This window comes from Homo sapiens, chromosome 14 (assembly GCF_000001405.40).
Source record: "Homo sapiens chromosome 14, GRCh38.p14 Primary Assembly".
Classification (NCBI taxonomy): Eukaryota; Metazoa; Chordata; class Mammalia; order Primates; family Hominidae; genus Homo; species Homo sapiens.
The window spans coordinates 44,290,392-44,317,859 of record NC_000014.9 but is presented as its reverse complement, the minus strand read 5'-3'; the positions used below and the strand labels follow the sequence as shown (position 1 = coordinate 44,317,859).

Below are 27,468 nucleotides of genomic sequence, written 5' to 3'. Positions count from 1 at the left end.
CTATTGTTCATTTATTGTTTGTTTTTAACATATAATATTTTAAATTATTTCTTGACTTTTACAGTAGTCCCCCCTTATCCACAGGACTGAGACTCCCAGTGGCTTTCTGAAACAAAGGATAGTACCAAATAATATGTACACTATGTTTTTTCCCTACACATATGTACCTGTGATAAAGCTTAATTTACAAGATAGGCACAGTAATGAGACAGCCAGGTGAGAAGGGCTCCCTGGTAGAACCTCCAACCAACCTGCACACTGGGAGGACTGTACACTGGTGGAGCCTTGGGAAGTTTGCGCCATTTACAGTGGGGAGGAGCCTGGCCCCTCTTCTTCTTGGGTGGTACTTGGGATTCAGTCTGAGAGGCGGGAAGGGCACTAGCAGGACTCTGGCTTTGCAGACTCTGCCTGTTTTCCCCCACCCCTCTTTTGCTTTTACCCAATAAATATCATTTTTCTTACCCTTCAAACTGTCTGCGAGCCTAATATTTCATGGCTGTGTGACAAGGACTCCACGTTTAGATGAACTAAGGAGAAAGTCCTGCAACAGTAAGAGATTTACAACAATAACTAGTAATAAAATGGAACAATTAAAACAATATGCCAGGATCACTATTCTTGTGCTTTGGGGCTATTATTAAGTAAAATAAGGGTTCTTGAATACAAACACTGTAATACCCCAACAGTCAATCTGATAACTGAGAGGTCCACCAAGTGACTAACGTGTGGGCAGTGCGTGTTCAGCATGCATACACCAGACAAAGAGGTGACTCATGCATACACCAAAGGGGTGACTCATGCATACACCAAACAAACGGATGACTCAGAGTTGGATGGTGTGAGATTTTATTACAATACTCAGAATGGCACACAATTTATAATTTATGAATTACTTATTTCCGGTATTTTTCATTCAATATTTTTGGATTGCAGTTGACCACAGATAACTGAAACTGCACAAAGTGAAACTGTGAATAGGGTAGTGGTACTGTATTTTTATAGAAAGTATTACAGAATTTTTCTTGAACATTTATGTTGAGACTTAGAAAACAGTACCCCAAAGTGAAGGACTCAGAAGCAGCCTAAAAACACAGTTTCTTTTGGGCTGGATGTGGTGGCTCAACCCTGTAATCCCAGCACTTTGGTTGGTTGAGGTGGGTGGATCACTTGAAGTCAGGAGTTTGAGACCAGCCTGGCGAATATGGCAAAACCCAATCTCTATTAAGAAAACAAAAATTAGTGGGCGTGATGGCACATACCTGTAATACCAGCTACTCAGGTGGCTGAGGCAGGAGAATCACTTGAACCCAGGAGGTGGAGGTTTCAGTGAGCTGAGATTGCGCCACTGCACTCCCGCCTGGACAACAGAGCAAGACTCTGTCTCAAAAAAGCTCTAAAACAACAACAACAACAAAACACAACAGTAACAAAACCCAGTTTCTTTCTGACCTTCTCCTGCTCTCCTTTCTTTTACCCCTTACTTTCCTCCGCACAGGTCTTAGAAACAAGCATGCTTCTTCCCTAAAGCTAATTATAGAAACCAGCATCCCCTCCCTCAAAGTGAGCCTTAAAACCTAAAAATGTTGCTCTAACCCACCTCTGCCTTTTTGGGTAAGAACTGGCCATAAATAAATTTTCCGGCCTACTTTGTTTGATAGTAGGCCATAACACCCCCATTCCTGTATTCCAGATAGGGTCATGCCTTATACAGGGAGAAAGAAAATACTGCATAGAGAGGCCAAGAAGAATCTCAACAGACAGCATTGCTGGGTTTCACCACTCAGCCTGTTTCCGTTAGGGCGTGCCCTTCTTGTCCAATCACAAGTCTGCCCACTTGTCCATTCTTCATTGAACCTAGGCATAAAAATAGATAGCTTTTCCTGTATCTTTGGGTCTTTATTCTGAGGGCTCCCATGTCATGTAGAACTTTGTTTTAAAAATATATATTGTGCCTTTTTATTGTTAACCTGTCTTTTGTTATAGGAGTGCCACGCCCCTTATGATGGGGGAAAAAAAGATCACCCCCTTTCTGCTCCTACTCTTGCATTTCCAATATATGGCAATGCTGTCATATGGCCACTGGAATTTGCAAAATAAAATCATAATGAATGGAAGCAGATGTTCACTGCTGATGAGAAACTCTATGTGATGCTACTACCAAAATATCCATCTTCTGTATCAATAAGCTGTTTTTCATTTCTGCCTTTCTCTTTGTGCATTAGAATTTCTTATGTATATTATTCACTGCAGGAAATATAATGTTTGGAGGAATATTGTAATAAGATTTAAGTGTCATATTGAAGGAATAGTTGGAAAATTAACTCAGGAGAATTGAACAGCTGCTGATTTCCTGTTTTTATTATTTTTAGGAAGTAAAGCTTTGAAATTAGATTTTCCTAGGGTGGATTACAAGAAGCTCATGAACTAGGAAAAAAAAAGGAGGTGCAAGAACACAGGGAGAAGAAAATATTTCTGTGAAAAGACATATTTGCAGATATGCTTAAAAATTATTTCTAGTGACATATTTCCTTCATATGTTAATAAACTTTGTTAAGAGACATATTAATGTAATAGTAAAATTTGCACTATTTTTTTCTTAACACTCACTTAAATAGGAGAAAATATGTTTTAGAAAGTCCATGGCATTCATTTGGAGTCAGTGTTTTGTTCTTTATGATTTTTCTTTAATGAGGTAATATTGAAGGTCTTCATAGTACCCTCTCCTGGAGGCTAGCATGTGGTTTGGCATAGCATCATGCATGGGCATGTATAGTAGGGAAAAACCAAGTTTTTTTTTTTTTTGTATTATACTTTAAGTTCTAGGGCACATGTGCACAATGTGCAGGTTTGTTACATATGTATACATGTGCCATCTTGGTGTGCTGCACCCAGTATCTCCTCATTGGACATTAGGTATATCTCCTAATGCTGTCCTTCCCCCGTCCCCCACCCCACAACAGGCCCCAGTGCGTGATGTTCCCCTTCCTGTGTCCATCTGTTCTCATTGTTCAATTCCCACCTATGAGTGAGAACATGCGGTGTTTGACTTTTTATCCTTGTGATAGTTTGCTGAGAATGATGGTTTCCAGCTTCATCCATGTCCCTACAAAGGACATGAACTCATCATTTTTTATGGCTGCATAGTATTCCATGGTGTATATGTGCCACATTTTCTTAATCCAGTCTATTATTGTGGGACATATGAGTTGGTTCCAAGTCTTTGCTATTGTGAATAGTGCCACAATAAACATACATGTGCATGTGTCTTTATAGCAGCATGATTTATAATCCTTTGGGTATATACCCAGTAATGGGATGGCTGGGTCAAATGGTATTTCTAGTTCTAGATCCCTGAGGAATTGCCACACTGACTTCCACAATGGTTGAACTAGTTTACAGTCCCACCCCAACAGTGTAAAAGTGTTCCTATTTCTCCACATCCTCTCCAGCACCTGTTGTTTCCTGACTTTTTAATGATCACCATTTTAACTGGTGTGAGATGGTATCTCGTTGTGGTTTTGATTTGCATTTCTCTGATGGCCAGTGATGATGAGCACTTTTTCATGTGTCTTTTGGCTGCATAAATGTCTTCTTTTGAGAAATGTCTGTTCATATCCTTCGCTCACTTTTTGATTGGGTTTTTTTTTTTTTTCTTGTAAATTTGTTTGAGTTCATTGTAGATTCTGGATATTAGCCCTTTGTCAGATGAGTAGATTACACAAATTTTCTCCCATTCTGTAGGTTGCCTGTTCACTCTGATGGTAGTTTCTTTTGCTGTGCTGAAGCTCTTTAGTTTAATTAGATCCCATTTGTCAATTTTGGCTTTTGTTGCCATTGCTTTTGGTGTTTTAGACATGAAGTCCTTGCCCATGCCTATGTCCTGAATGGTATTGCCTAGGTTTTCTTCTAGGGTTTTTATGGTTTTAGGTCTAACATGTAAGTCTTTAATTCATCTTGAATTAATTTTTGTATAAGGTGTAAGGAAGGGATCCAGTTTCAGCTTTCTACCTATGGCTAGCCAGTTTTCGCAGCACCATTAATTAAATAGGGAATCGTTTCCCCATTTCTTGTGTTTGTCAGGTTTGTCAAAGATCAGATGGTTGTAGATATGTGGCATTATTTCTGAGGGCACTGTTCTGTTCCATTGATCTATATCTCTGTTTTGGTACCAGTACCATGCTGTTTTGGTTACTGTAGCCTTGTAGTATAGTTTGAAGTCAGGTAGTGTGATGCCTCCAGCTTTGTTCTTTTGGCTTAGGATTGACTTGGCAATGCGGGCTTTTTTTTGGTTCCATATGAACTTTAAAGTAGTTTTTTCCAATTCTGTGAAGAAAGTCATTGGTAGCTTGATGGGAATGACATTGAATCTATAAATTACCTTGGGCAGTATGGCCCTTTTCATGATATTGATTCTTCCTAACCATGAGCATGGAATTTTCTTCCATTTGTTTGTATCCTCTTTTATTTCATTGAGCAGTGGCTTGTATTTCTCCTTGAAGAGGTCCTTCACATCCCTTGTAAGTTGGATTCCTAGGTATTTTATTCTCTTTGAAGCAATTGTGAATGGGAGTTCACTCATGATTTGGTTCTCTGTTTGTCTGTTATTGGTGTATAAGAATGCTTGTGATTTTTGCACATTGATTTTGTATCCTGAGACTTTGCTGAAGTTGCTTATCAGCTTAAGGAGATTTTGGGCTGAGATGATGGGGATTTCTAGATATACAATCATGTCATCTGCAAACAGGGACAATTTGACTTCCTCTTTTCCTAATTGAATGCCCTTTATTTCCTTCTCCTGCCTGATTGCCCTGGCTAGAACTTCCAACACTATGTTGAATAGGAGTGGTGAGAGAGGGCATCCCTGTCTTGTGCCAGTTTTCAAAGGGAATGCTTCCAGTTTTTGCCCATTCAGTATGATATTGGCTGTGGGTTTGTCATAGATAGCTCTTATTATTTTGAGATACATCCCATCAATACCTAATTGATTGAGAGTTTTTAGCCTGAAGCATTGTTGAATTTTATCAAAGGCCTTTTGTGCATCCATTGAGAAAATCATATGGTTTTTGTCGTTGGGTCTGTTTATATGCTGGATTACATTTATTGATTTGTATATGTTGAACCAGCCTTGAATCCCAGGGTTGAAGCCCACTTGATCATGGTGGATAAGCTTTTTGATGTGCTGCTGGATTCAGTTTGCCAGTATTTTATTGAGGATTTTTGCATCGATGTTCATCAGGGATATTGGTCTAAAATTCTCTTTTTTTTGTTGTGTCTCTGCCAGGCTTTGGTATCAGGATGATGCTGGCCTCATAAAATGAGTTAGGGAGGATTCCCTCTTTTTCTATTGATTGGAATAGTTTCAGAAGGAATGGTACCAGCTCCTCCTTGTACCTCTGGTAGAATTCGGCTGTGAATCCATCTTGTCCTGGACTTTTTTTGGTTGGTAAGCTATTAATTATTGCCTCAATTTTAGATCCTGTTATTGGTCTGTTCAGAGAGTCAACTTCTTCCTGGTTTAGTCTTGGGAGGGTGTATATGTCGAGGAATTTATCCATTTCTTCTAGATTTTCTAGTTTATTTGCTTAGAGGTGTTTATAGTATTCTCTGATGGTAGTTTGTATTTCTGTGGGATCGGTAGTGATATCCCCTTTATCATGTTTTATTGCATCTATTTGATTTTTCTTTCTTTTCTTCTTTATTAGTCTTGCTATCGGTCTATCAATTTTGTTGATCTTTTCCAAAAACCAGCTCCTGGATTCATTGATTTTTTGAAGGGTTTTTTATGTCTCTATCTCCTTCAGTTCTGCTCTGATCTTAATTATTTCTTGCTTTCTGCTAGCTTTTGAATGTGTTTGCTCTTGCTTCTCTAGTTCTTTTAATTGTGATGTTAGGGTGTCCATTTTAGATATTTCCTGCTTTCTCTAGTGGGCATTTAGTGCTGTAAATTTCCCTCTACACACTGCTTTGAATGTGTCCCAGAGATTCTGGTATGTTGTGTCTTTGTTCTCGTTGGTTTCAAAGAACATCTTTATTTCTGCCTTCATTTCGTTATGTACCCAGTAGTCATTCAGGAGCAGGTTGTTCAGTTTCCATGTAGTTGAGTGGTTTTGAGTGAGTTTCTTAATCCTGAGTTCTAGTTTGATTGCACTGTGGTCTGAGAGACAGTTCATTATGCTTTCTTTTCTTTTACATTTGCTGAGGAGTGCTTTACTTCCAACCATGTGGTCAATTTTGGAATAAATGCGGTGTGGTGCTGAGAAGATTGTATATTCTGTTGATTTGGGGTGGAGAGTTCTGTAGATGTGTATTAGGTCTGCTTGGTGCAGAGCTGAGTTCAATTCCTGGATATCCTTATTAACTTTCTGTCTTGTTGATCTGTCTTATGTTGCCAGTGGAGTGTTGAAGTCTCCCATTATTATTGTGTAGGAGTCTAAGTCACGTTCCAGGTCTCTAAGGACTTGCTTTTTGAATCTGGGTGCTCCTGTATTGGGTGCATATATATTTAGGATAGTTAGTTCTTCTTGTTGAGTTGATCCCTTTACCATTATGTAATGGCCTTCTTTGTCTCTTTTGATCTTTGTTGGTTTAAAGTCTGTTTTATCTGAGACTAGGATTGTAACCCCTGCTTTTTTTTGTTTTCCATTTGCTTGGTAGATCTTCCTCCATCCCTTTATTTTGAGCCTATGTGTGTCTGCATGTGAGATGGTTTTCCTGAATACAGCACACTGATGGGTCTTGACTCTTTATCCAATTTGCCAGTCTGTGTCTTTTAATTGGAGCATTTAGCCCATTTATATTTATGGTTAATATTGTTATGTGTGAATTTGATCCTGTCATTATGATGTTAGCTGGTTATTTTGCTCATTAGTTGATGCAGTTTCTTCCTAGCCTCGATGGTCTTTACAATTTGGCATGTTTTTGCAGTGGCTGTTACCGGGGAAAAACCAAGTTGTTTCCCCTTCTATACTCTCAGTATAGCACTTCTGGTCCCCAAAATATGTGGACTTCTTCCCACACTGCTACTCTGATACCAACTGAATGTCCACAATTTAATTCAATCCTTTTACCATTCACCTGTAGTTAAGAGTCAGATCCCACAAATTAAGGGCTCAGTCCTACAAGACTGCCCCCACTTTTCTTTGGGGGTTGCAATCACAAGTTGGGACCTTAATTACTCTCATTGACTGGGTATAAATTGTTGGTGCCCATGACCCTTTCCACAGGCCTATGAATGGCTGACAGAACTGAGAGAAACACTTAAATTAGCCAGTTTCCTAGAAAGAATATTACAAATCATACAGATGAAGAGCCAGTTGAAGAAGTATACAGAGCAAGGTTAGTGGGAAGGGGCATGGAGATTCCACACCCTCTCTGGGTGTGCCACCTTTCCAGCACTTCCCATGTTAAAACAACCAGGAATCTCTTTTGTCTGGTAGTTCAGGAACTTTTATGGAGCCTTCATCATGTAGGCATGATTGATTATTAACTCAATATTCAGCCTCTCTCCCCTTCCTGGATGATGGGAATGGAAGATGGAGCTGAAACTTTTAAGCTTCTAATCATGGCTTTATCTTTCTGGTGGGCAGCCCCTACCCAGGAGCCCACCAAAAGTCACCTCATTATAACAAAAATGCTCCTATCAACTGGAAAATTCCAAGGGATTAGGAGCTCTGTGTTAGCAACCTGTGACAAAAACCAAAATATATATTTCTTGTTATAATCACAATATCACCAGCAGAAAGCTGCAATAACATAATGATCATAGAAAAGATCATAGACGCATAATCCAGCTTTACAAATTTTACTTATATTTTATCCTCTGATCAGAGGTTAATTGCTTTGACTTTTGTCTAGTAGAGGCAGATAGTTCAAAATAATAATGCTTTTATTTACATCAATATTTGCAAGTAACATTTATATTAATAATGCAGCAAATAATGGACACAAGAAAGATGTAGGAGTGAAGACTATTTTGCCTCACCCTCTAAAGGTTCACGTCTGCTGAAGTGAACTTACAACAGACAGATTAACAGGAAAAAAGGTATATAAATTTATTAATGTGCATAAACATGGGAGTTGTATAAAATATGAGATAAAGAAAGGCCAGATGGCTGAAGCTTAATTAGCAGCCTCTTCACAGGGGAGAGGGAGATGGAGAAATGTGGGCAATTTTGAGGGTTAGTAAATGTTTTCTAGGGGAAATGAATCAGCCCAATAAACAGAGAATGGTTTGTAAAGGATCCTCTTTGGAAACTGATAGGGATCCACAAGTTACAAGAATGAAAGGGGCAGAACTGCACTATGAACAATGGTTCTCTTATTATGCAGATATAGTCTCTTATGTAATCTCTTGGAGCTGCCCGCAGAAGAATAGATGAAATGTCTGTCTGGGCATGATGACCATTATTAGTCTCTTTTCTCCTATTTCCTTCTCTTATTCAGTGGTCAGTCTTTCCTAGGGAAAGGGTTTAAAACAATTGCATTTCTTTTGGAAAAAAGTTTCATCATTCAGATATGGAAATTCCAGAAAGAGCTCCTCCCTGTATTTGGGAGGCAGGGAGAGACAAGAGAAGGTCATTGATTTTGAGGCAGCTTCTAAGGCCTTCCAGCTTCCTTTATTTCTAAAGTGTTCAGCGTGCCATGTTTTAGGATATAATTTTCTGAGCTCCAACACAAATAACAGAAAACAAGTAACATAATACATTAGTAATGCAGATAACAATATTACAGGTATTGTATTAGTCCATTTTCACATTGCTGTAAGGAACTGCCTGGGACTGGGTAATCTAGAAAGGAAAGAGGTTTAATTGACTCACAGTTCTGCATGGCTGGGGAGGCCTCAGAAAACTTACAATCATGGTGAAAAGTGAAGGGGAAGCAAGGTACCTTCTTCACAAGGCAGCAGGAAGGAGAATGAATGTAGGAGGAACTACTGAACACTTATACAACCATCAGATGTCATGAAAGCTGACTCACTGTCACAAGAACGGCATGGGGGAAACCACCCCCATGATTCCATTACCTCCACCTGGTCTTTCCCTTGACACATGGGGATTATGGAGATTATGGGAATTGCAATTCAAGATGATATTTTGGGTGGGGACACAAAGCCTAACCAAATTAGGTATCATAACATTGTATTTACACTTTTGAATTGAGAGTGATCACTAAAGTATAGGTGAAGAAACTGAGACTCATAGTGGTTAAAAGTCTTGTTTAATTTACAAAGCTAGCAAGTATGAGAGGTGGAAAACCAATCTAGGGCTTCTGATTTCTAAATTGGAGCTCCTTTTTCTTTAGTAAAATGTGAATTTTCTCAGGAAAAAGCCATACATTTATTAAAACATCTCATGTACCCCATAAATATATATACCTACTGTGTACCCACAAAAGATAAAAATAAAACATATCCATACATTATTTTAAAAAACTATACATTATCAATTCAAAGGCTGTTGACTCCAAGCCATCACTTTTACCATATTTTCTCATGCTTTTGAGTTGATTGCATGATGGCAAACATTTAAAAACTAAAACATTCAGTCAAGAATTTAGCCATTTTTGTCTCTGTGACATCCACCAGATATTTGGAAACCCAGAATTAAGAAAATTCTGAACTAGTAGTTTAGAAGCATCTGGTCCCATATACTCATTCCACAGATGACAACATTGGGTTGATAACTCTTTTCACAAAACACAGCAGGGCTTTCCATGAACCCAATAAAAACTAGAAATGGTAATATTACAGTAGTGATATTTTTAGAGAAGATGGTTTTGCTCTTTCAAATTTTTCATTTATATAGTCCTTTTTATATTCAGAGAAAGGAGCATTTTGTTATGCCCTTTAGTAGAAAAAAAGCAATCAAGGCCATTTATGCCAGAGTAAGCAAGAAGGCGCATAACTCCAGGGAGTTATCACTCTTGAAGAAAATTTCCATTTGAATTTTCTGGCTCATTTTTTTACCAGTCTCATGGAAGTTATCTAGCAGATAAGACAATGTTAATGATATGGTCCAACAGAAAAGATCTTTTAAGACAAGAATATGATATGGAAATAAAGCATTAAGTAAATACTTGGCTTCCATCCTCATAATATAGGGTTTCCCCACTGTTTGCAAAGACAGAGCACCATTTGCTTACCACAAAGCTATGACAGAGTCTGCATGCTTCCAAAGAACTAAGAATTGTTCTGATATGACATAAACAGATCCTATGACTTCAAGTTACTAAAAGGACGTAGGGATTTCATTTTATCACAATAAAAATTTCCCCTCTTATTTGCAATATTTCATTGAATCCAAGATGTCACAATGATCTATATTAATTTTAAATGGTATTAGTTGAAACCTAGATTGCATTCTTTCAGAATAATGAAACTCATTATTCTGAGATGAATGAATTATCTTCATAATAATAAAATAAAAATAATCCAGGACAATACAATTACTTTTCAAGTTCCAGTCAATTTATCCTGACCCCCAAAATAATTCAGCACTTAATGCTATTTGAGAAAATGCTAGAAATTAGGAATGATAGGCCTGGGACAAGTCCTCAGAGAGTTTGCAGTTAACCATGCATTAGTAATACAAAGTGGTAAGAGCAATACAAAGTCATAATGATAAGAAAATATAGCACCTGTTGGAGCATATTGTAGGGGTCATGAGTCAAGACCAGGCCTTAAGGAACCAGTAAAGGGACAGTTTCAATAATCAATTTTTGGGGAGACATTTAAACTTAGTGACACCTCTGTTTCTCTTTGAAAACTTGAAGCTTAAGTTCTAAATATAAAGTAGCTATTAATAATTGCTAGTAATAGTGGTACAATATACAATGTAGCTATTATTAATTAATAGTTCCCTGCCCCTTTAGTTGGCATTAAGGACAAGAATCCTCTATTTAAGAGCAATAATTACTAGTATTTTAGGTTGAAAGATATGAATTTTTTTCCATAGGTTGAAAACAGTTGAATATTAGTAATTTCATATGGCACAACTGTACATGTTACTAAGTTTTATTTGTTGTCTAGATCTTATGAAAAATACAAATTCAGTAATTTTTATTTTTAATGAGTCTATCTCTTCTCCTAAATATCAAAATTTATATGAGTTTTGATTTATTTATTTTTTCCACGTGTAGTTAGGAATCAAAAGAAAGAGATTTTGAATGATTATGGTACAGTTATTACCTGTAATTTAGTCAGTGGTCTCAAAGAGAATTTCCAAATTTGTAAGATGACATGAGACTACTCATTCCATAAAATAAACACCAACTTTGCCTAAGTTAAATAATTGTTCTTGAACATGACAATTAGAGAGTTACTAGTCATGCCATCAGAAGAAAAGTTCTTACACCCTTAAGGGGGCTGACAAAATTTTTCCTCCAGTTAGTTTTGGGGGGCATGCAGTTGAGAAAATTAGGGTGGAGTGTGTTTCCTTATGCAGACTTAGGAAAATGCAAAGTACTACTAGATTTTGTCTGAAATTTAAAATACAGATCATGAATAAGGGATGTATAAAAATAGGAATGTAAACCATGATTTCATCTATATTCTCAGCTTGTCTACCAACATATTTATCTAGAGTAAGTTAATATCAAGCAAAAATAGTAGAAAAGAAAATTATCTTTTTTATTTTTAACTTTAATCTACAATTGTTTCTACATGTTTATATGACATTACAGGTTTGCAACCAAATGGATTAAATAATGGGTTCAGAAGCAATGGACTAAATAACTGGCTGTAAGTAAAGTGAGAAGATTAGATTGTTGCCTTAATGTTTGAATTCTTGAGCTCTCTTACTTCAGGGATAATAGATATAAGTAGGAGAACTTAGAAAGGAAAATAAATTCCTTTTATTCTTGCTTCTCCCTTGCTAGCTATTGCAAGAATAAGAGCTCGAAAGTTAAGGTAGATGGGAGAGGAAAAGGCAAGAAAGGACCTATAGGTCTTTTTATTATTGTTGTTTTACTAAAATATAGCCTGTGGCTGAAGGTTTCAAAATACCTTTAATTTTTAAAACATTTTTTATATTTCACTAACGCCTATTTCTGGGATGCTAAATTTAGAAATCATGAAATGATTAATGATAACTAAACCACAGTGTAGAGAACAATAAACAAATCTCTGAACATATTTCCCAAGGACTGATATTCTACCTAAAATCAGCTGTACACTGTGTAACTTTTATAGATAACTTTATTCTTTTGTCGTTGATGCTAGCTACCTCAATAAAACATTTTAAGTTGATGAAAAATAAGACAATGGCAAAAATATGGAGTGTTCAGTTAACAGTCATATACAGAAGAGATAAGTAGAGAAGAGATAACAACTGTCAATCGAGTGGTTTATAAAACAATTTTAGGGTAAATAATTGCAGGCAAATATTTAATATCTCACACCAAGATTAATTTGCTGTTACAATTTCCATGCTCTTAACACAATCAATATTTTACTGATCCTTCCATATTCATAGTCTTTTAGCATATGGTAGTATATTTCGAGATACTTTTAAAAAAGCTATACTTCATGATTTTCTGTAGTAAATTATCTGAGTGAAAGAAAGATATGTAATTTTTATTTTTATTTATTATTTATTATTTATTTATTTATTTATTTTTGAGACGGAGTCTTGCTCTGTCACCCAGGCTAGAGTGCAATGGCACGATCTCCGCTCACTGCAGCCTCCATCTCCGGGCTCAAGCTATTCTCCTGCCTCAGCCTCCCAAATAGCTGGGATTACAGGTGCATGCCACCACGCCCGGCTAATTTTTTTGTATTTTAGCACAGGCATGGTTTCACCGTGTTGCCCAGGCTGGTCTTGAACTCCTGAGGTCAGGCAATCCACCTGCCTTGGCGTCCCAAAGTGCTGGGATTACAGGCGTGAGCCACCGTGTCCTGCCCAAGATATGTAATTTTTACAATACACTTTTTAAAAACAACGTGAGCAAAGAAAATCTGGGGTAAAGTTCATTTGGGAATTACAACCAGGTTGATGGCAATTTATCCTAAGCAGATATAAGTCTAATAGTGGGCAAAAAGTTCTCTACCATTTTACAATTAAATTATCCTACTTTCATTCATTTGAAAATTATTGAAAATTTTATATTTTTGTTCCATTATACTCATTGAATTTTGATATTAAGGAATTTGTGTATTATGCGATGTAAGTTTTCTGTGACCACTTTAGTATTCCCTGAGTATTCCTTCTGTAATTCTTAGGATATTTGAAATGTGGATGATAAAATTTGGCATTTAAGTATATATCATATACTATTTGATATTTATTGACTATGCATTTTTAAATAAGTTAGTTAATTGCGAGGTTCTTAATCAAATAATTACTTACGCTTTCTATTGTGTCTCCTACATATTAGGAATACTTTCTTCATTGCATTTCATTATTGCCTACAAAACACATAAGCAGTAGGACTATTATAGGTTTCTCATTCTTTGGAAGTCAGCATTTTTCAGTACCTTCATCTGCTGTTTAAAATTAATTAAAACTATTAATCTATTAGCATTGTGACCAGTTATGATTATATAATTTTCTAATTTTTGTTTACTCTATTTTTACTTTGATTTCCAAATGCTATAGTCTTTAAGACAAATGAAAGTAAATAGGTGGAATTTTAACCTATGAAACTAGCATTTTGGTTCCTGTCATTCCTGAGCGGGGTGACTTGAAAGTTCTGTGATTTAGGTTCCTTGATCTGCCTGATAGCCTGCCCTTCTGAATAGTAGTGAATTTTATTATACATCATGCGCCAACTTGACCCATCTTACACTGAGCTCTTTATTGCCAATATCTTTGATTATGCTATCCTTTGTATTGAGACATATATCAGCAGGAAGTCACCCTATATATTCATCTAGAATGTTCAGAAGCTTTCTTTAAAAGATAGGATAATGGAAACACAATACATATGGATTATTAGAAATTTTACTTTTAGAGTCATTTCCATTCCAGTTTATACTACATTGTAGGATCAAAATAAGCAGTCTTCTGCTGGAAAAAAATGTAATAAATGATACTGAATTTTTATTTTTTTAATGTTTGAATCTCTGAAAGCTTTTTTGCCTTTTGGGAGTGGTTTAAAAAAAACACTAGGCCTCTTCAAGCTAAAGTAGAGCAATAAAAATGCCCTGAAAATGAAAAAATAGAAATATTACAAAATATATATCTTTTATTTCTATCAAATTAGCAAAAATTAAGAACTTTATTATATTTTATGAACTTAAGTGTGTGATAAGATTTCTCACATTTGCTTTTAGTGGGAATGTAAATTATTACCATCTTTTACAAACAGCCTTAAGGCAATTAGGTAGAATATCAAGTAAAAAGCCAAGTTATAAAATTATCTGGAAGATCTCCATTATGAAAAAAATTATGAAAATAAAAAATGTCAGTAAGGAAATACATCAAAATATAAAATGATTATTATTGAGAAGTGGGGTTATTGGTAAGCTTATTTACTTTTATACTTCCTTTTAATATACATTTAAAATAGATTTTTGACATTTTCCAAAAGCTAAACTAAGCATGTATAATTTTTATATTCAGAAAAATACCTAAAAACTTTATTTTTTATAAAAAGAGAAATAATGATTTTAATAAATGTCATCCTTAGGAATAAATATATGAATGGCAGCACTGCCACACAATATAAATATTCCCTGAAACTACATACTGGCTTTGGTATGATGTTTTATAATATTTCAAAGAAATTTATATTCATGGCTAAATTAAAGCAGCAAGTGCAATTTAACTTTTAAAATTCCTTAAGCAGAAGCAGTTCAAAGTTCAGCGGGATGCTCCAGCTACCCTGTCATTATTTCACGGTAGAAATTCTTCGTCTTCTTTCTCTTCCCTTTCCTTACATATTTTTTGGGCACTGACTATGTAGATGGCATTGTATTAGATCAAGAGGATATAAAAACATAAACAGCCTCTATCTTTTAAAAGTTTGCAATTAATATCATAAACACTTTTGAAAACCTAACTGTATTTGAAGAAGCTACACTCAGAGAGATTTAAAAGTAGAAAGTCTATAGGGACAACACATATTCAGGTTTAATTATTAGGAATATTATTTAGCCTTAAATAAGAAGGAGATCCTTGCCACAACATGGATGGACCTGGAGGACATTCTGCTAAGTAAAATAACCCACACACAGAAAGAAAAACATTGCATGATCTCAGTTATATGAGGAATATAAAACATATATATAAAATACACAGACATAGAGAATCAAACAGTGGTTACTGCAGGTAAGTGGTAAAAGGAGAGACAATGGGGAGATGTATGTCAACGAATACAAAGTATGTAGGATAAATCAGAGATCTAATGTGTCACATGAGATGCAATTCTATTGTATTAGATATTTTTGTTAAATAAGTAGATTTTAGCTGATTTTGTCTCAGAGAAGTAATTATGTAAAGTGATGAATATGTTGATCTGCTTCACTATAGTAACCATTTATCTATATGTACCCCATACATCATGTTGTAAATCTCAAATATACACAATAAAATGTATTTTAAAAAGAATCTCAGAATCAAGACATACAACTGTTTTCTTTGTCTAATTTACTTAAGACTATAATCTGTTAGCTCAACTAAGAGAGCTGTTGACTTGCTGGAATGACATGACACAGGATTTTCTTCTTGGTCACTTTGCAAGCTGGGGATCTCCAGCTGGTGATGCCTCATCCGGGCTTTGCTTGACCATAGCTGCATGCTGCAGGAGATGGCCTGCCCACTCAGTCTGCCCAGGCCAAGTCTGGCTTATGCACTGTTTCCCCAGTTCCTGTCCCATACCCAAGAAGAATGACGATGTGCTGACATTGAAGAGTAAGCAAGGCAGGGAGTTTTATTGAATGATAAAACAGCTTTCAGTGGAAAGGGGATATGGCAGCGGTGTGGGAGGGGTCCCCCCACCTGAAGGCAGGAAAATCCCCTCAATATGGCTGAGTCTGGGGCTTTTTATGGGCTTAGAATCGGGGAGGGAAAGACTGTCGGTAGTATTGGAAAAAACAACATTCATTGGTTAAAAGACATTATTCAGAAAGAATCAATTGGGAAACAGTGGGGCAAAGAGGAAGAGAAGTTCTCATTCTCAGTTGTGGGTTTCATCGTACCAGTAGTCCAGTCTTTCAGCCTTCAGGCTGTTTTTGGCTTGAAGGTGGGTTTCAGCGGGGATCTGCCCCTATCTGCCTAGGCATTTGGCTGCTTCCTGTTGCTTTCAGAAACAGATAACCTCGTTTCCTCCTGAGCTATAGAGAGTGGGATTGAAGGACCATAGGGGATAGAATTTTGAAACGGTTTCTCTGATGTGACATTAATGACTCTTTTTTTTCCCTAAAGTAAAAATAAATTTAAAGGGGTATAGAAAAGGGGAATAGTACAAATCTTTTCACAGTTGTTGTATATCACATAATCTAATAATTTTAGCAAGATATTTGAAGAACTTTTTGTCTTGTGGATATTTATCTTCTTCAAGTCGAATAAGTTTAACAACATAGCAACACAAAAAGCAGTGCAAAATCACTCAGCTGACCAGCAGGCAATGAAAGCATGTTCTACAAATCCTTGTGATTATCCCCCTTTGTCTTCTTTATTACTTTCTGCCTTCCTATGCTGTTTAAAGGATTCCCTTACTCAAACACTACAATATAGCTCATTTATGTAAAATCAACTACCAATGCTAATTTCAGATGCAAAACACATATGCACTGAGGGGAGACCTCAGGGATAACATCTTTATCTTAAGTTTTATAGAGCCCAAGACTTTTTTATCTTTTAATTCTCTATGCAGCAGCTGCACTTATCTTTCATGGACAGATTTGAAATGTAATGGAAATGCTAACAAATCTGCCTCTATATAACCTTTTCTTTTCAGTATCATTAAGAATTAGAATGAGTCACTCATTTCCTTATATTATCCACACACAATTGTGGTCATTACTGACCCCTTAATTATAGCTATTAGCCACCATGAAATTTCAAAGTACTTTTCAACCTTCCTATTGTTTGCGAGCCAAAGTATTTTACTTTAGGGGTAGCAATATTACTGCTTCAATTTTGAAGTATATATCTTTATTAGCTAAATTTGGTATGAATCTACTCATAAAAAGGTAGATAATATAAATGAGGAAATGTCTCAATGTTCTTCACACCCTCACTATCCTTACAAAATATTCATTTTAACTAACAATAAATAACATGAAAATACATATATATTTTTAAAATCAAATAAATGCTTAGAAGTCAGAGTCCATATAGATGCACATATGGTCAATGACACTGCTACTTAGTTCCTTTTTTATTAACTTGTTTACTATTAGGAGGCTTGGATGGAATTTACCATTTAAAAATTTACTTGTATAAGGGTAATAATAATAATAGCTAACATTTATTTTGTACTTACCATGTAAAGACCTTATGTTGCCTTACTTGGAATATATTTTTAATTCACATAGTAATTGTAATATATGAGGTTAAATGATTTGCCCCAATATGCATAGGTAGAAACCAACATAACTAGGACTTGAAACTGTGTTTCTGAGTGGCTCCGGAACCAGCTGCTCCCAGTGCACACATTTAAACACTATACTATAATTTGGCCATTATTTATCTCTAGGTGCCTCTAAGGAAAAGCATAAATTGATTTACTGACATTTTAGAGCCATATTTTGCCAGTTCATTATTTTCTTTGTATCCTTCAAATTTTGACTTTATTAATGTGTTTATAAGATGTAATTATATAATTGCTTATCTTTGTACTCCCAGTGCGTAGCACAATTCCTGGAAAACTGTCAATACTTAGTAAATATTCATTGAATGAATAGATTTGCATATATTTTTATTTAAAAATACATCAACCTATGCATTAATTTTGTTAATACCTATTATCAAATAACAATTTGAGAAAATCAATAACCAGTAACATTATCCTAAGTCAATAAATCCAGTTCTAATACACCAGGTTCAATACCTTCATTGTATTCCTTGATATGGTTGCACCATAATCAATTTACTCAATCCCCTGTATTTGAAATTTTAAGTGGTTCCCAATTTCTGGCATTTGCGTCAATGTTTGAAGTCATATTCCTGTACTTAGTTCTTTATACATAGCTCTAACTAAGAAAGGCCATTGGTATGTCAATAGGAATGTACATTTTCAATAGACATTGGTAAACATCTAGAAAGATATACCAACAGAAAAAGAGCATAATTAGGTCGAAGACATAATTTTTTTTGCCACAAAAGCCTTGTTACAAGCCACTTAACCCATGTGTAAGAGTTTATGGATACTATGATGAATAGAGATTTCACATCTGTTATAATTACATTCAGAAGTGGACATAGGATATATAAAACACATGAAGCTCAAAAAAAAAAATAAGAAAACAAACCACCCAATTAAAACACGGGCAAAATTTTGAATAGACATTTCACCAAAGAAGATATAAGAATGATAAATAAACACATCATTATATAGGATATTTTTATATAGGATATATAAAACACATGAAGCTCAAAAAAAAAATAAGAAAACAAACCACCTAATTAAAACATGGGCAAAATTTTGAATAGACATTTCACCAAAGAAGATATAAAACACATCAAAAGGTGCTCAACATAGTTAGTCATTAGGAGAATAAAAATTAAAATCACAATGAGATACAACTACACACAAATTAAAATAGTTAAAGCAAAATAAGACAAAACAATAAAAAACTGACAATAGCAATACCTGGTGAAGTTGTGGCACAAGTGAAACTCTCATTCATAGCTAGTGGGAATGCAAAATGATACAACTACCTTGGAAAACAGGCAGAAGTTATATATATTTGTACCACATCATCTAGAAATCTGCCCTTGGGTGTTGCCAAAGAGAAATGAAAGCTTCTGTGTGCAAGAAAACCTTGAATGTTTATAGCAGCTTTACTCATAATTGCCCCAAACTGGAAACAACCTGATATTCTTCACTATGTAAATGAATAAACTAAGTATGGTACATCCATACAGTAAGATACTACTCAGAAATAAAAATAATGAACTATTGATATGTACCAATAACATGGTGGATCTCAAATCAATTATGTCAAGTGAAATGAGTCAACCACAACAGGCTACATATTGTGGGATATTCTCGATCTGTGTGTCTGTGTGTGTGTGTTTATAACAATTCTCTCTTCACACACATAGACACACACACAGACACACACACACATACCATTTTGGGAAAAGGTAAAACTACAAACAGAAAATATCAGTGGGTATGTGGGTATTCTCAATTGGGGTATGTGACTATAAGGCAGCATGGGACAATTTTCTTCAGCTGACAGAACTATTCTATATCTTGACTATGGTGGTTATTACATTACTTGCATTCATCGAAACTCATAGACCTCTACACCAAAAAAGTGAATTTAATGTTTGTAAATTAAAACTGATATAGTTTGGATGTTTGTCCCTGCCCAAATCTCATGTTGAATTATAATTCCCAATGCTGGAGATAGGGCCTGGTGAGAGGTGTTTGGATCATGGGGGTGGATCCCTCATGGCTGAGTGGTGTCTTTGTGATAATGAATGAGTTCTCATGAGATCTGGTCATTTAAAAGCGTGTGACACTTCTCCTCTCAACTTGCTCCTGCTTTTGCCATGTGATGCTATTGCTCCCCCTTCACCTTCTGCCATGATTGTAAGCTTCTTGAGGCCTCTCCAGAAGCTGAGCAGAAGCCAACACCATGCATCCTGTAAAACCTGCAGAAGCATGAGCCAATTAAACCTCTTTATAAATTACCCAGTCTCAGATATTTCTTTATGGCAATGTAAGAACAGAATAATATGAAAAATTGGTACCAAGAGTGGGGTATTATTGTAAAGATAGCTGAAAATATGAGAGCAGCTTTGGAACTGCATAATGAGCAGAGGTTGGAAGAGTTTAGAGGGCCGAGAAGAAGATAGGAAGATGAGGGAAAGTTTGGAACTTTGTAGAGACTGGTTCAATAGTTGTGACTAAAATGCTAATAGTGATATTAACAGTGAAGTCCAGGCTGCTGAGGTCTCAGATGGAAATGAGGAATTTATTGGAAACTGAAGCAAAGGTCACACATGTTATGCCTTAGCAAATAACTTGTTTGCATTCTGTTGATGCCTTAGGGATCTGTGGAAGTTTGAACTTCAAAGTGATGATTTAGGATATCTGACAGAAGAAATTACTAAGCAGCAAAGCATTCAAGAGGTGGCCAGCTGCTTTTTACAACCTATGCTCAGATGAGGCAAATAAATGACTTAAAGATTGAATTTAGATATAAATAGGAAGCAGAGCATAAAAGTTTGGAAAATTTAATGTCTAGCCATGTGGCAGAGAAATAAAAAGCTTTTTTGGGGGGAGGAATCCAAGCAGGCTGCAGAGCAACCACTTGCTAGAGATATTTGCGTAACTGAAAAGGAGTTAAGTGTTAATAGTAGAGACAATGGGAAAAATATTTTGAAGGCATTTCAGAAATCGTTATGGCAGCCCCTTCCGTCACAGGCCCTGATGTCTAGGAGGACTGAATGGTTTTATGAGTCAGGCCCCACTACCCTGAGCAGCTTGGGGACACTGCTCCCTGCATTTTGGCCATTCTGGCTTTAGCCAAGGCCCAAATGGGCTTAGCTACAGCTCTAGTGGCTGCTCCAGCTCCAGAGAGTGCAAGTCGTAAGCCTTGGTGGCTTCCATGTGGTGTTAAGCCTGCAGGCACACAGAATCCAAGAGTGAAGAATGCTTGACAGCCTCTGCCTAGGTTTCAGAGGCTGTATGAGAAGCCTGCAGCAGGGGCGGAGCCCTCTGCTAGGACAGTATAGGGGGAAATGTGGGGTTGGAGCCCCCACAAAGAGTCCCCACCAGGGCATTGCCTAATGGAGTTGTGAAAAGGGAGCCACCATTCTGCAGACCCGACAATGGTAGATCCAGCAGCTTGCACCCACAGTGTGGAAAAGCTACAGGCACTCAATTTCAACCTGTGAGAGCAGCCGTGGGGGCTAAACCCTGCAAAGCCACAGGGACGGAGCTGCTCAAGGTCTTGGGAGCCCAACCCTTGCACCAGTGTCCCCTGGATGTGGGACATGGAGTCAAAAGAGATTATTTTGGAGCTTTCAGATTCAATGACTGCCCTGCTGAGTTTCACACTTTCATAAGGACTGTAACCCCTTTCTTTTGACTGATTTCTCCCTTTTGGAATGGGAATGTTTACTCAGTGCCTATACCCCAATTGCATCTTAGAAATAACTAACTTGTTTTTTACTTCATAGGCTTATAGGTGGAAGTGACTTGCCTTGTCTCAGATGAGACTTTGAACTTTTGAGTTACTGCTGGGATGAGTTAAGTCTTTGGGGGACTGTTGGGAAGGTATGATTGTATTTTGCAGGGACGTGAGATTTGGGAGGAGCCAGGGATGGAATGATAAAGTCTGGATATTTGTTGCTGCCCAAATATCATGTCAAATTGCAATCCCTAATGCTGGAGATAGGGCCTGGTAGGAGGTATTTGGACCATGGTAATGGACCCTGATGGGTTGGTGCTGTTTTTGCAAAAATGAGTGAATTATCCTGAGATCTGGTCATTTAAAGTGTGTGGCACCTCTCGCCCAACTCTCGTTCTTACTCCTGCTTTCACCACGTGATATGCTTGCTCCACCCACCTTCACCTTCTCCCATGATTGTAAGCTTCCTGAGGATTCCCCAGAAGCTCAGCAGATACCAGCACCATGCATCCTGTAAAACCAGAAGATTCATGAGCCAATTAAACTTTTTTAAAAAATAAATTACCCAGTCTCAGGAATTTCTTTATAGCAACACAAGAATGGACTAATAAAAAAAAATTCAAAAAATAAAAACAGTGAGCAGAGGGTAGCCATATCCCATGCTACCTTTGACAACTACAAGGCATTAAACATGCATGGTGTGACCTGGTATATGCAAGTGTGCATGTGTGTGGATATATACATATGCATGTGTGCTTATTATCACTAACATTGCTTTGCAGCTTCCATTTTGACCCAGATTGAAAATCATTTAATTATTGTCAATTTGGATTTGTTGCTGGGAAAATTAGTCTTGATGCACTCTTCTCATATTACAGGGAAGGAAATGCTTATCTAGGTTGATCAAGGGACTTTCTTTGGGGTCAGAGTCTGAAATAGATTTAGCTTATTTATTTTCCCATTGAGTCAATTTTTCTATTTTAGCAAGGTTATAGGACTGCAGATGTATCAATATTGCTCATAGCTCCTGTCTTTGAAAATGTCGTAATTTGTATTTTTTGTCATACATGTTTGGAAATATAAAATTGTTCTTTACTTAAAGATTACGTAGCTACAGTCTTAATGGAATTACATGTAACAACTCATTTAAGTTCCTCTAAAGAAAGATACTTTTAAATTAAGATCATATAATTGCCATTTTACTTGTCTTAAATTAAACTAGATCAACCCGCATAAGAAAAACATTAGAAATAAAACTGTGTATCACTGTTTACTTTAGATATTTCTTACCTAGTTTTGCTTTTTGATTTGACTTCATGTTGTTAAGTGTTACTCTTTTACACATTTAGATTGTGGAGTTTAGTCAAAACCTTGGCTGAAAGACATACCCAAAATAGCCCTTTAGAAGGTGTACCTCCACTAATCATTCTGAAGGGATTAGAAGACTTTTTTTTTTCCTGGCAATTCAGAGTGAGAAGACTTTCTTGTGATAGGGACTCAATTCAGGTGTTATCGCTACTGGAGAATATACTTCCCTAGGCACTCATTAAACGTAAAGTAGTGCAGGGAGGGCATACCTGGAGAAAGGAGTAGAAAAATGGAAAATGGGGAGGAAGATTAATGTTAACATTTATGATGATACTGGGGCAACAATGAAGGAAGGATGGTGAGAGTAGCATCACTCAATGTGGTGTTTTTTTTTTCCCTTAGAAATGTTTCCCCTATGAGACTTTTTTATTAATTATTGTTTCATTGCAATTTTACTGATTTTTCAATTAAAAAGGTAAGATGTAGTCCTATAGCTTTTAAAAAATAAACACTTCATAATGAGTTTTAAGGTATAACAGTCAGAAAGTTATTAAAACCCATTTATGATTTTATGTGATGTATTTGAGGTATGATATTTTTAAAAACATGTATTATTTTTTAAAAAATCTTACAAGTAAAACATGAATGTACTAATTGAGGATCAAGCAATATGTTAACAATTTTGTAAAAGCTCATATTTCAAAGTCAATATTCCTGCAGAGAATATGAATCATGAGCATAATCATGTTCTTCTTTTGATTTTAATAACATCACAGAACTTTTTCAAAAGAGGCATGACATTTAAAAATTATGCTAGTATAAATGTGCACAACTATTATTTGTCAAGTAAAAATAAATTATACCAAAATGAAAATTATATTACTAGTAGAATCTACAGACAATAAAAAACGTAAATGATATTGACAGTTGAAATATACCACTTATGCGTTTTGACCTCTAAGGTTGTCTTCTCATACCCCCATTTTCTGCACCCCTTGCCCCCAGGTTATTATATGTACTCTCCTTAGAATGAAAGAATTTTCTAATATTACAGTATTTTGTTAATATTATGAAAATCCTTACTGTCAAGATAGATTTATTTGGGCCAGACTATGAGGCAAGTGGTATAGGGCAGGTAGAGGAGACATTGACTTTGGGAAATCACAAAGACATGAGGGGTATGACAAATACTGATGGCTTAATCAATAGCCTAGAGTGAAGGACACCTATTAATACATGTTAAGGGCAAATGAAAAGTGAGGTGAGTGAATGTGCTATTAGGTTGAAATGGAGAGGTCAAGTTACATATAGAGGCCCAGGGTTAATAGAAGTTAGCATTAGAGGCTTAAGCTGGGCAGAGAAAATGGACATTCCACAGTGAGAATACTTATTTGGGTTTTGTTTGTTTACGTGTGTGTGTGTGTGTGTGTGTGTGTGTGTGTGTGTGTGTGTTTGAATGTGTTGAATGTGTGATAATTTATTTCCTGACTTTATCAAGGAAGAATTTAAATCAATTATGAAAACACAGATATTGAGCCCTCTGCCTCTGGCCATGATGGATTAACATGGGCTGAGTGAGGTGCCTGAAACAAATACAAGACAGAACAAAATACTGTAATCAATGGTGGTTCTTTGAGAAAACCAATCTTTTACCAGACTGACTAGGAAAAAAGATAGAAAACACAAATTACAAATTAGAAATAAAAGAGATGACATCATAGAAGATTCTATAGCTATTAAAAGTATAATTTGGGAATATTATAAGCAATTTTATACTAATAAATTTGACTACTTAGAGGAAATAGATGAATTATTTACTCAGTCAAGAAAAATAACCTCAAATGTTTTATAGCTATTAAGGAATTTAATTTGCATTCAAAAGTATTAACACAAAGTAAACATCAAGAAATTATACTAAACTTTTAAAGAGGAAATCATACCCATTCTACAGAATTTTCCCTGGAAAACTGAAGAGGATTGAATATTCTACATTTTATTTGATGAGGACAATATTATCATAATACCAAATTTAGAAAGACTTTATAAGAACAAGAAACAACTGCATAATACTTTCCAAAAACATAGATGCAAAAGAGTCAATAAAATTTTAGCAAACCAAATCCAGCAATACAGTGGGACATATCATGACCAAATGAAACTTATCCAGAATAAAAGGTCTTTACATTGAAAACTAATTAATATAATTCACCATATTAGAAAGGCATAAAAGAAAAAAAATGATCATCCCAGTAGATACATAAAAATGCAATTGACAAAATCCAACCTCCATTTCACCCAAACTCTCAGCAAACCAGGAATAGAAATAATTCATGCAATTTAATTGAGGACATTTACAAAAATCCTGTTGCTAACATTGTACATACTGATGAAAGATAGTGCTTTTCCCCTATGATCAGAAACAAATCACTCTCTTACTACTTCTATTGAGCTTTGTACTAGAACTAGTAAGTAAGTTTATTGGGTTGCAGGAACCAGATCAAGTCATAAAATTAATTGTATTTTAATATACTACCAACAAATATTCACAAATTGAAATTAAAAATGATGTCACTTATTATAGCACTAAAATTATTAAATACTTAGAGATAAATCTGACAATGTGTAAGATATAAACATTAAAACTAGAAAATGTTAGAGAAATTAAACTATAAATAAATGGATTTATGTCTCATGTTCATGAGCCAGAAGGATAAATATTATGATGTAGATTTTCACCAAATTATAGATTCACAATCAATATCCTAGCATGAGACTTCTTTTTCTTTTGTAGAAATTGGCAAGCTAATTCTAAAATTCTTATAGAAATACTAAGGAACTAAATGCAAGTCACAAATTTTTAAAGAAACTTAAAAAAGGAGAAAAAGTTGTATGGCAAACACTACCTGATTTCAAGGCTTATTATAAAGCTTGAATTATCAAGAAGAATGGCATCAAGAGAGACAAATTACTCAAGGGAACAGAAGAGGGAATCTATAAATACACTCTCATACACAAAATACTGATTTTTGACAAAGGTACAAAAGCAATTCACTGGAGAAAGAATTGTCATTTTCAAGAAATGGTTCTGGAATAATTGGATATCTATATGCCAAAAACAAAACAAAACAGAACAAGACAAAAAACATGAGATCTGATCCATACTCAGGTGCTTTGAACCATGTAAAAATGAACACAAAACACATCATAGGCTTCAGTGTAAAGTCTAGAACTATAAAACTTCTAAAGGTAAACATAAGTCAGTTTGGCTATTGGATTTGGATTTTGTTTTTAAATCATTTCCTGAGCTAAAATTTCTTCAGGGATTCATAGGCTCTGTTTGGAACTCTCTTCCACAAGGGAAAAGAAACTGCTATAAAGAACTTAGTGATGAGGAAATAATACAAGTAATATTCCTTTCATAGCACTTTCTTATACATTTTGCCACAAATTGAAAATAGAAACACAGACCGTGTGAGCAGCAAGATCTAGGGACAGAGTTTGAGCCTTGCGACTCTCACCATCCAAAGATTGCCGAGCCCCCATTCGTCTACCGCCAACCACTTCTGACACAGAACATTCAGTCATGGGTAAAAATATCCCGGTGCAGAAGGCCAAATGGGCTGAGCAATATGTTGTCACGAAAGACTGCATGATGTCTGTAACTAAGCAAGGAACTGAATTTTTTTTTTATTAGGAGAGGAATCTTCTTTTAGTTGCTTATAAAAATGTTACAGGAGCCTGTAGGTCATCTTGGAGCTTCGTCTCAAGTATTGGGCAAATGACAGAAGCTGCTGAGAAAAACAGCAGATGGCTTGAGAATACAGAGAGAAAATGCAAAGTGAGCTAAGAGCTATCTGTAAATGATGTACTGTCCCTTTTGGAAGAGTTCTTGATCCCCAAAGCTTCACAAGCACAGAGCAAAATCTATTAAAAGCAAAAGGAGTCTACTTTTGTTATTTGGCTCAGGTTGCCGCTAGTGATGATAAGAAAGGGATTGTGGATCAGTCACAACAAGCACATCAAGAAGCTTTTGAAATCAGAAAAAGGAATTGCAATCAACACATCCTATCAGATTGGGTCTGGGCTATAAGCTCTCTGTGTTGTATTGTGAGAATCTGAACTTGCTGGAGAAAGCCTGCTGTCTTGCAAAGACAGCTTTTGATGAAGCCATTGTTGGACTCAATACATTAAGAGTCATATAAAGATAGCATGCTAATAATGCAACTACTGAGAAACTACTTAACATTTTACACATCAGATACCCAAGGAGATGAAGCTGAAGCAGGAGAAGAAGGTGAAAATTAACTGACTTCTCAAATTTGTCTACTTCATTCTAAAACACAGTGGACCATTTGTCATCCATATGTCCTGAATATAATTTTTTTAAAAAGGTATAGGTTACTTCTATTTGAATTTCTGTTTTTTCCTATATGGTTTTTATGTTTTACATTAGAATAGGGCCAATTAAGATTTAGGGAGTTATATGTTTTCATCTTTAGGTGGCCAATATGGGGATGTGAAATTTTCATATAAGCTATAAATGTTTGACATAGTATTTTGCTAAATTGTGGCCTCACAAGGACCTCTGTTATAACTGCCTCTGTGTCTAGGCAAAGGAAAGCACCTATATATTGGTGTGTCCTAATAACGGATTAAAGGATAATTTGTTCCAGGTTTAGTTGTAGTTGTGCAAACTGTAAGGAAAGAAAAGTTTCCATAACCCTTTTAGGGTTCCTGGCTAGGTCTGAAAGAAAACAAAGACAGATTAATAGGAGAAAAGCATAAAATATTTAATCAAAGTTTTGCAAGACATGAGAGGCTTCAAATTGAAGATGCAAAGACTCAAGGAAAAACTGTCCATTTTAATTCTTAGATGCGACAAAGCGTAGACAGTCATGCAAAAATGTAAT

General features: G+C 35.8%; 1 long non-coding RNA gene and 1 pseudogene across 1 annotated transcript in view, besides 1 other annotated feature; both read left to right on the top strand.

Moving 5' to 3' along the window:
* The window catches only part of LINC02307 (long intergenic non-protein coding RNA 2307), a 395,530-nt gene that overhangs the window by 68,202 nt on the left and 299,860 nt on the right, over nucleotides 1-27,468 (top strand). The window lies entirely within an intron of this gene.
* Nucleotides 362-1,561: an enhancer, noted in NCBI's record as "P300/CBP strongly-dependent group 1 enhancer chr14:44785502-44786701 (GRCh37/hg19 assembly coordinates)". NCBI's record gives its function as "activates an origin of replication core promoter dependent on BRD2, BRD4, P300/CBP, MED14 and CDK7 cofactors, with strong dependence on P300/CBP, by STARR-seq in HCT116 cells {active_cell/tissue: HCT116}" and the evidence as "EXISTENCE:reporter gene assay evidence [ECO:0000049][PMID:35650434]".
* Nucleotides 26,087-27,260, top strand: YWHAZP1 (tyrosine 3-monooxygenase/tryptophan 5-monooxygenase activation protein zeta pseudogene 1; annotated as a pseudogene).